The following is a 10,361-nucleotide window of genomic DNA, read 5'->3' on the forward strand; positions in this document are numbered from 1 at the left end:
CTCTCTCTCGGCAGCATTTGATAGAGATGATAATTTGCCTTAAAACGCATTCTGTTCCTGGTTTCCAGGCTGCCATATTGCCTGGGCTCCCTCAAAATTTCCCACTGTTCCTTCCCAGGCTTCCCTGTCTCCCTGGCCTCTCCCAGGCTCACAATTTATGCCCTTTCCTTTCCTGTTGACCCTCTGGGTGATCATATCCAGACTCATGACTTTTTTTTACCTATAGGACATTTTCTAGATTTGTGTCTTTAATCCAGACTTCTCCCCTTGTGTCCAATATCCACTGGCTTCTTGACATTCCTACTTGACTTTTGGTCCACTCACAGCCCACCTCCTCTCAGGCAATATGCTCTATGTTCTGCCAGATGCTCAGGCCGATCCATGGAGCCATCCTTGCCTGCTGCTTTCCCTTTGCTTGTTTCCTGGCCACCCTATCTAAAATGTCATCTCAAACCCCACCCAGGTATTTCATATCCATTTTTTCTTCTTAGCATTTAGGGTTACCCAACACACTATACATTTACTTTTTATCTTCTTGCCTGTTGCTCTTCAGTCAACTGAGTTTCCACGAGCTGAGATTTTTGTTTTTTTTTGTTTACTATTGTGTCCCTAGACCAGGAACACTGCCTGATGCGGAGTAGTTATAGAAGTAGTGCTTGTTGAATAAACAAATGAATGAATAATAAACTACATGGTAGATAGACTTTACTAAATTTGAGTGAGATTAAAGCACTTAAAATAGACAAATGTCAGTCAAGTAGCAAAATGATAGCTTTTAACTTCTGACTCTGCAGTGGGAGAAGTGGATTGCTTAAGTTGGAGGGGAGGCAGGAAAGAATTATGACACTCACACAATGAAAGACTTCAAGGGAACCAGGGAAACTTCCCAGTTAACACTACACCCCGGAGTGATTCTGTCTCTGCCCAAACTAGAAAATTCTGTAAAAATGTGCCCAACTATTTTGTCTCTTTGTAGCAGATATTTTTACAGAGGGCCCTAATATTAGAAGTAATTTATCTGGAACTTCAATAATATATCAAACAGAAATTAGGAAGAAAAAGTGCTGAAACCATGGAAATACGGGAGGTGAGATTGAGATTTGTCTACTTTGGAGACAACTTTGAGAGGGTAGGCAGACTGAGTATCCTCTAAAACAGGGGTCCTCAACCCCTGGGCCATGGACGAGTACTGGTCTGTGGCCTGTTAGAACAGGGCCAGACAGCAGGAGGTGAGCAACAGGCAAGTGAGTGAATGAAGCTTCATCTGTTTTTACAGCCACTCCCCATTGCTTGCATGACCACCTGAGCTCCGCCTCCTGTCAGATCAGTGGCAGCATTAGATTTTCATAGGAGTGCGAACCCTATTGTGAACTGTGCTTTCAAGGGATCTAGGTTGCATGCTCCTTGCAAGAATTTAAGGCTTGATGATCTGTCGCTGTCTCCCATCACCCCCAGATGGGACCATCTTGTTGCAGGAAAACAAGCTCAGGGCTCTCATTGATTCTACATGGTAGTGAGTTGTTTAATTATTTCATTATATATTATAATGTAATAATTAGAAATAAAGTGCACACTTAATGTAATGCACTTGAATCATGCTGAAACCATCCCCCCAGCCCCAGTTTGTGGAAAAATTGTCTCCCATGAAACCAGTCTTTGGTGCCAAAGTGGTTGGGGACCACTGCTCTACAGTGAACACATCCACCTTGAATTAGGAATTTGACCAAGTCACAAGATCACTGAGAACTAATAGTAGAACCAAGGCTAGAAGAAAGACATTCTTAAGGCTGAGGATTTCATCAGTGGCTGGACATGTATTTATCCTTTAGTATATTGCTTAATATGCTTCACATACTGTTCCAGTATTCTCAACTTTCTTGTCATGTATGATGCTCAGCTCAAAACAGTACTTCCGTTATTATCAGAGAGCTGTACTTTGAACTGGGTGTATAGCTACTATTCTGGTATCCACACTTAGGAAAGAATGAAACAATCACTTTTTTACAGAATGGCAACCAAATAAGATTTATTTGGAAGGTCTGCCTCCTTTTCATAAGAATCGATCACAATGGTTTAGAATGTTCAGAGAAGACACATGGAAAAGTTGGGACAAGAATTGGGACACAAGATATTTATTGCCAAATGCTAATCTTAATTGATAGCTAGCTATGTACCAGTCCTTGTGGCCATGGCCATGTGTGTGATCTTGTTTTTTATTTATTTCTTTATTTTGAGACAGAGTCTTGGTCTGTCACCCACAGCTCATTGCAGCTTCTACCTCCCAGGCTCAAGTGATCCTCTCACCCCCGCCCCACCAAGTAGCTGGGACTACAGGCAAGTGCCATCATACCCAACTAATTTTTTTACTTTCCGTAAAGACATTATCTCTCTGTGTTGCCCAGGCTGGTCTCAAACCCCTGAGCTCAAGCATGCCTTAGCTTCCCGAAGTGCTAAGATTTCAGGTGTGAGCCACTGCACCCAGCCTCATTGAATGCACCTAAACAATCTCATTTAATGCGCGCGACAACCCTAGCACAGACACTGTAGGGAATTGCCATGGTAAGAGTATGAAGGGAGAGATACTTGCAATGAGTTTGGCAAACAGTGGTTAGCTTTAGTTAGCCCTGAGAATCTGTTTCTCAAAATAAAAGGGATTACATTTGTAGAGGAAAATGGATTTGCCATGGTAACAGACACGGTCTATAACTCATAGCCCTCTGCTGCCTTGAGAATTATTTCGGCCTCTATTTTACTTATATTTTCGGGTTCTCTTAACAATATAATGTTGATTTCCAGAACAATTGTTCTTGAATAAGGGCATGGCAAACTGCTCCTGGGTTTCAGCAGTAGAGAAAGGGAAACTGCCAAAAGAAACCTAGGTGAGGGAGCATTGTCTCTTTGAAGGTAGGAGATTAATTGATGAGCTATGATTTTTTTGGTCATAATTTTCAAAGTGGTCAATGCAACCAAAATTATACAACATGGTCTGATATGGTTAGGCTTTGTGTCCCCACTCAACTCTTCATGTTGAATTGTAATCCCCAGGTGTTGAGGGAAAGATCTGGTGGGAAGTGATTGGATGATGGGGGTGGTTTTCCTCATCCGGTTCTCATGATAGTGAGTGAGTTCTCATGAGATCTGATGATTTTATAAGGGGCTCTTCCCCCTTGGCTTCCTACACGTGCTTTCTCACCTGCAGCCATGTAAGACATGCCTGATTCCCCTTCTGCCATGACTGTAAGTTTCCTGAGGCCTCCCCACCCATGTGGAGCTGTGAGTCAATTAAACCTCTTTTCTTTATAAATTACCCAGTGTAAGAATGGACTAATGCATGGTCCAATTACTTGCATGCATTTGACCATTGTATGAGAAACAAAATCTTAAGACCAGGTAGCTCACTTTTTGGAATAGCTCTTTAGAAATTTTTTTTTCTTACAACTAAAATAATAATATACTTGGCCTATTTCTTTCAATGTTTTCATACATTTACTAACCATGAGCCATAACAGGCAAAACTTACTTCCACCTATCCTTTCAGCATCTTTACTCCTCTTCATCTACACCAATCAGATCTGAAAAAGTTAATGGGTTTACCCTCTGCTCTGCCCCCACAAAGAAACCCTTGACTTCAATCAACAGTCAAGTTTGTTAAGCATTGATGGAATAAGATTATTGGTAACAGAAAGACAACTCCTTACAGCTGGCTTTTCTTTTTCTTCCTCTCCTTCTTCCCACCACCACCCCCTACCCTGCCTTATTGCTTTGCACAGTACTCTGCACATAGAAGGTGATTAACATATGCTTTTTATTGAGTATTTAGTAACATTTGTGAGGTATGTTGCTGCTATTGTTGCTGTCGATAGAGGGAAAAAAGAGTGTTTTTACAGTAACTAGTGATATTCCAGAGTTCACAGATAAATTTTCCTGTTGATATATTTCTAAATTAATGTGTGACACTTCACTGGATATCACTTTGAACACAGCTATAACTTCTGAAGAAAATAAATCACTGAATCAGACAGTGTTTATTAGCCAATGTGCTGTTATTTCCTAAAGCACTACTTCTACTTGTGATAAAATTGGCAGCCGGGGAGATAAAGAGAGTGTTTGAAAGTGTTATATCCAAGGGTCCTAGATGAATTGCGAAAATACAGTGCGTATTACATGAAAATTTTTGTTCTTTAATGTTTCCTTATTTCTTCAGAAAAATACCATTTTAAAAATATTATTTATTTTCTCTATAACTCTGTTTAATTAAAGCATTTCACAATTATGATATTCAGAGGAAAATCAACATTCATTCATTTATTTTCCTTCCTCCTTTCAACAACTAGCTCCTGGTGTTTGCAAATTATAAAACGGTTTCTTATCTGTTTTCCATTTTACGTTGTATGATAATTATGCAACTGGTAACACTGCCTTCTCCCTAGTCATGGACAGTGTGCATCTCGGTTTTATGATTGCTTTTTGTTGCAGCTTGGGGAAAGATAAAAAGGCCTGTCAAATCTCAAGAGATTGCCGGCTAATGAATCACAAATAGCTCTGCAGCAGGCTGGAAGCATGCTGTCCTCTGTGAAACATGCAGGGTTCTCTTTCGCATTCCCTTCCATTTGCTCTGGTGGACCTGTTGGAGGACCCAGTGATTTCTAGGCTTTGTCATGGATGTTGGATTTGAGAGCTCAATTAGCAACTATCTCAGCCAACAACAATGCGGAGCTAATGGGAGGTTTGCTTGGTGGCCTGTGCCTCTGTGGCAAAGCCACACCTCCACATGTCCTGCGGGCTCGCTTCTTCACTCCTGTCCGGAAGCCAAGATCTGAGTTCCTCTACACATGCCCTGGCAGTGTCTCAGTCCTGTTTCTGAGACTCTTACAAACATCCCATATTTCAGTCAAATATTCTCCTTCTCTTTTTTTTTTCTCCCAGCCCCATAGATCTACCAGGCACATAGAACAAATGTTCTGTAATGAGTAAGCTTAGGCTGGTGTGGGTGAGGGTGCCTGGTAAGTTCCTTTATGGAACTAGCAGGGGTCACAAAGCAGACCATTTTCTCCTCCAGTGTCGCTCAAAGTTAGCTAGCCAGTGGCCCTTCAAAAGAAAGATAGAAGTTCAAAACATAAAAAAATACAAACAAAACGTCTTCATTAAAAAAAATCATCTTCATCAAAAAATACAAAATGCTCTGATGGTTACTCCACATTTTTAAAAGGCAATATGACCTTTGCACTTTCTGAGATAACCGGCTGATGATGTTCCCGGAAGCCTCTGCCATCTCATCTCCTGTTCCCCGCATCACTAGCCTTCAGATAAAATTTGTTCTTGCAACACCTCTGGTCTTTTGAAATGTGCAGACTCCTGTCTGGATTTCAGGTCAAATTCAGACTTTGGTTTTTGAGATGGAGTCTTGCTTCAGACCTCTTTTTTTTTAAAAAAAAATATATTTTACTTTAAGTTCTGGGATACATGTGCAGAATGTGCAGGTTTGTTCCATAGGTAAACATGTGCCATGGTGGTTTGCTGCACCTATCAACGCTCTTTTTTTTTTAAATATTACCATAAATACTGTTTGTTGCTATCTTTCATCTGGAACAAGCTGGCTGAGTAAGGTAGATCTTCTCGTATTGTCTTCAGGGCATGCCAGCGCAATGCATTTCCTGGCTACCAGCCCTCATGGGCTCACGTTGGGTGCTTGTGGCACACTCACACATCCCCATAGCTGGGACTGAGATTTCTCCTTTCATACATTATTCACAGCTTGCAGCAATGAGTACTTCCGCAGTCTTTTAACCTTATCCAAATGTAACCTCGCATTCACAATTATACATAACTTGGAAGAAGCATGCTGTACCATAAAAAGTTGCCTTCTGGGGAATTTGTTGTTGTTGGGCTTGAGCTTAAACTAAGATGGCTTAGACGGAAAATTGGTGAACAACAACATTTCTCCACTTTCTTTTGCATAACAGCTGGGAGGAATCGGTTCATGCTATAAGCCCGGGGTGTGCCGGCCAGCTGGCAGGAGCGCTCCAGAGCCAGGGTGCCAGATCCCCAACAGCTGCATCACTGCTCATCCATCTGTAGCACACACCATATGCCAAACCCCAAAGTAAGTGGGGAGGGGATCCCTTTAAAAAGAGATTTTCAAAGCCACAGAGAAAAAGCATTTTCTCCTATAATGCACAGGCTTTGATCTCGTATTCTCCTGCTCCTCTCGCCCTCACCCAGTCTGGACGCCCACATGATTTAGAATTGGTGCAAAATAGTAGGGGAGTGGTTTGCTTGGTCGGCTTCAGGAAACCGTTTCTCAGGTAACTTGTAAAGAAACCTACCACCTGCATCTATTTTTTACAAAAAGAACCATGTAATAATTTAATTTGGAAAAACCTTTCATGAAGTTTGCAAATCATTTGTTATGTCTTAGATTTCATCATGTAGCCACATTTTGAACTTTGAAAAGCACAGAATGAGTACCTTTGGGAAATATTCCAAGATTTTCTTCATCTTAGTAATTTTAGAAGTTAATAAGCCACAGTTAAGGAACACTATATCCCAAAAAGACCCTCTAGTCTTATGCTTTCCTTTCCAAGGTCATTGAAGATCATGAGAATTGAACTTGTAAAACAGTCTGACCAGATATTCCATTTTATAAAGAGATACGCATTTATGTAAATGTGAATTCTAGAATGAGGGTTGTTTAAGATAGTCAATCACTTACAGAAATTACTTCCTGCTGGAAATGAGAAGAAAATATTTTCCCACTCTTTTGTGAACATCTCAAAATATAGATGGCAAGGCTCCAGTGGCCATGGGAAGATGGAATGGCACTCTGTGGTCACTCAGAGATGGCAGCACTGACCTCTGATGCAGATTCCAGTCCATGTTTGGAGCTGGGGTGAGTCTTTTGTGAAAACCCATTGCCATTCTGTTGACTTTACTTGGCATGGCTCTTATTGTCGTTCTGGTAGTGGTGGTGATGGGAATACAATATCTTCATTGTACTTTTTTCTCTGTATCTACCTTTGATACAGAGACAATACAAAACAATACCTAGTTTTGTATTACAAACTACTTCACAGTTTAAATAATTCCTATTTATAAAATATTTTCTTGAAAGTCACACTCAATGCAGGAAACCATGTCATTTGGAAAGCGGTACATATGGGAACGGACCTGACCAGGCCAACACTATTTGGTGACATATTTCTATATTATCCTAAATAAGAGCCAAGCAGCCACGTGGCATAGTCTTTGCATGTATTGGAATTCAAAAAAGGAGTTCAGCTGCCAAGCGGTAGATAAAAAGGGATTTCATTTTTCAGAGAACATTGAAGAGAAGCCATTTTCTAATTTTCAGTAACACTTTTTAAGAGCTCCCTTTCTCCACTATCCAACTGTGTAGTCATTCTCCATATTATAAATCACAAGCAATTCAGAGACTGAAACAGGCTAGCAAAATCTTTTGTTGACATCACAGATGCAATACGTGTGTGCTTACATGAATATGTATGCTATGTATGATACACATGCAGATATGTGTAATATATACATATACACATATATATCACATACACACATATTAATACAAATGACTACACAATGCATGCATATATATATACACACACATGCATATACGTGTTTCAGTTTAAGCATAGATATTCATATAAAAACTACTCAGGCTGGGGACAGTGGCTCACACCTGTAATACCAATATTTTAGGGGTCCCAGGAGGGAGGATCACTTGAGGCCAGTTTGAGACAAGCTAGGGCAATATAGTGAGACCCTGTCTCTAAAAAACTACAAAAATTAGCCAGACACGGTTGTAGTGCATGCCTGTAGTCTTAGCTACTCAGGAGGCTGAGGTGGGAGGATCGTGTGAACCCAGGAGTTTGAGGCTGCAGTGTGCTTTATTTGTACCATGGCACTCCAGACTGGGAGACTGAGCAAGACACTGTCTCAAAACAAAAGAACAACAACAAAACAACCAATCAAGCAAACAAAAAATCCACAACAACAACAACAACAAACAACTACTGGAAGTCATTGTAGCAATACACTTAGGATGAGATAATTATCTCTCAGAGACCCCAGCTTCATATACCATCACTTTGGGGGTAAGGACTTCAACATATGAGTTGGGCTGGAAAGAGGAGCACAAACAGTCTGTAACAGAGGCCATCCATGGTTTTGTTTCTAGGTAACTCTTCTAGGCATCTGAAATATCTTGGTGGGAGGTTTTCATGGACACCCAGCTTTGTTTCTGTTCCTAACTCTAAGATGGCTGAATTGGGCAACAAGATCGATGTCGAGGTAGCACAAATGTCTGTTCAGAGTCCCCTGGGGTGAAAGGCAATATTAATCTAGAAATGGCAAAGAACTCTTCAACCTCACATGCTATTTTCAATTTAATGCAGATGATAGGAAAAAGAGGCATACACAGAAATTAAAAGAAAAACAAATTCAAAACAGATGTCAGGAAATACTTTGCTCCCCAGAGGAAGAAAAAAAAAAACAGATGAGAAGAATATTTTAACAAGGCAGTTTACTGAGTTAAGAAACTGTGATCATCATTTAAAAATAGAGACCTGGTGCTGGGCTGGGGGTGAGGTAGGCAGACACTAAATTTAGAGTGAGAAACGTGACCTTCCATAGAGAAAAATAAGCCCAGTGTGGGTTAGTCCCATTTATCATGCTCCACTGCCCCCTGCCTTAGTCTCTCCTTGGGTGTTTGAAAAGGTGTGCTAAAGTTGTGTTTATGAGACAGGAAATACATGTTTTAGCAAGAAATAAATCTGTCCCTACAGACATAGATGGCTGTGTATTTCATTAAGTTGGGAGCCAGTTGTACCCCTTTTCACCTTTGTTTCCACTTTAGATGCCATCACATGGACAGACTTTTCCAGACGAAGGTCTCATAGCCAGGTTTCTGGATGACTTTAGGTCAGGTTTATAGACCAACATTTCCTGAGTGATTATGGCGCGTAAAGTCCCCATTCAGCCTCATGTTTAACACTCTCTTTTATTTCAAGGGTGAGAGGAGAGTAGCATGGGTTGAGAAGTTGAGGAGAAGTTTTGGACCAAAACATTTTTAGTTTGTTTTAGAAATGCTTGTCCAAGAAGACTAAACATTTTAAAGCTTCTCAGACAACATATCACTGTAGTTTCTTCATCTCTGTCTCATGAAGTCACCCTCAAGAATGACTCAAGAAATAAGACTGCTGAATAATGATGCATGAATTAGTGCCGCTTTAGAAATGGAAGGTTCTGGCAAATTCTGCATGAATTTTTTTTTTTTAATTGTAGTCCTCAATGTTAAAAATATTTACAATATGTTAGAAAATCAATGAAGTATGTGCAGTCTAGTATAGTGAGTCCTGACAAAATTTCATACAAAATTCTGTTTTATTGACGTGTTCCCAATATCTAGTACAAAACTTGGGATGCAGTAAGTGCACTGTAGTTTGCACTGAAGGAAATATCCCATGCCCTTACTCGTTGTTTAAATTATTTCTTACTCTTTGTTTTTCATGCGGCATGCTGTTATTTGATACATCTCTCATCAGGTAAACCCCCTTTCTGGAATAATTTCAGAGTAAGTCCCCTGCTTCCCCTGCCCCTACCCCACAAAGAATTTGTTGTTCCTTCCTCTGAGCTCCCATAAGCCTCTGGGGCAGCTGCTATTATAGCAATTATAATATCTTATTGTGCTGATGTATCTGTTTGTCTCCCTTCTTCAAAAAAAAGCTACTCCTTCTTGAGATCAGGAGAGTGTGTTATTGCATTGCTTGTCTTTAGTCTCTGGTACATTTTTTTTTAGCGTCGAATTAATAGCCAATGAAAGTTTATTGAACTGAAATGATCTCAGAAATTGTCTTAGTTTGGGTTCATTTATAAAAGGAACCTGAGATAAAGTCTTGAATGCCTATGGTTTATTTGGAAGATGATTCCAAAAGTGAGGGCATGAGAAAGTGATGTAAAAATGGTAAAAACTCAGTAAGGGGTGGGTTGAGCTGGTATCACCTTGAGCAAGTGAGGTGCATTCCCTGTGAGAACCTTCTTGAAAACTGCATAGCATGTAGCTCAGAATTCCCCTCCACCTAAAGAGAGGCTGGGGCATTTCTCTATCCATCCCTCTACCCATCTGTAATAATGGTTGGCCTGGGAACAATCCCCATCACTGCCTGGCTACCCAGACTGCATGAGCTCCCAAGACTTTGGAGACAGCAAGAGACAAAAACGCTGACAGTCACACAGGACCGCTTGAGGTTAAAGCTATCAGCAAGTGAGGACTTGCCTATCCCAGCTGCAGATAAAGGCTGAGGTGGGCTGTGGGGTAAAATAGTATCTACTTAATCCCCAGGAAGTAT

The 10,361-nt window shown here is 40.6% G+C and overlaps 1 annotated feature.

The window, feature by feature from the left end:
- Positions 4,343 to 4,933: an enhancer, noted in NCBI's record as "OCT4-NANOG hESC enhancer chr13:107638300-107638890 (GRCh37/hg19 assembly coordinates)". NCBI's record gives its function as "activates a minimal SCP1, AML or CMV promoter by ChIP-STARR-seq in naive H9 embryonic stem cells {active_cell/tissue: H9 hESC(naive)}" and the evidence as "EXISTENCE:reporter gene assay evidence [ECO:0000049][PMID:30033119]".

This window comes from Homo sapiens, chromosome 13, assembly GCF_000001405.40.
Source record: "Homo sapiens chromosome 13, GRCh38.p14 Primary Assembly".
Lineage (NCBI taxonomy): Eukaryota > Metazoa > Chordata > Mammalia > Primates > Hominidae > Homo > Homo sapiens.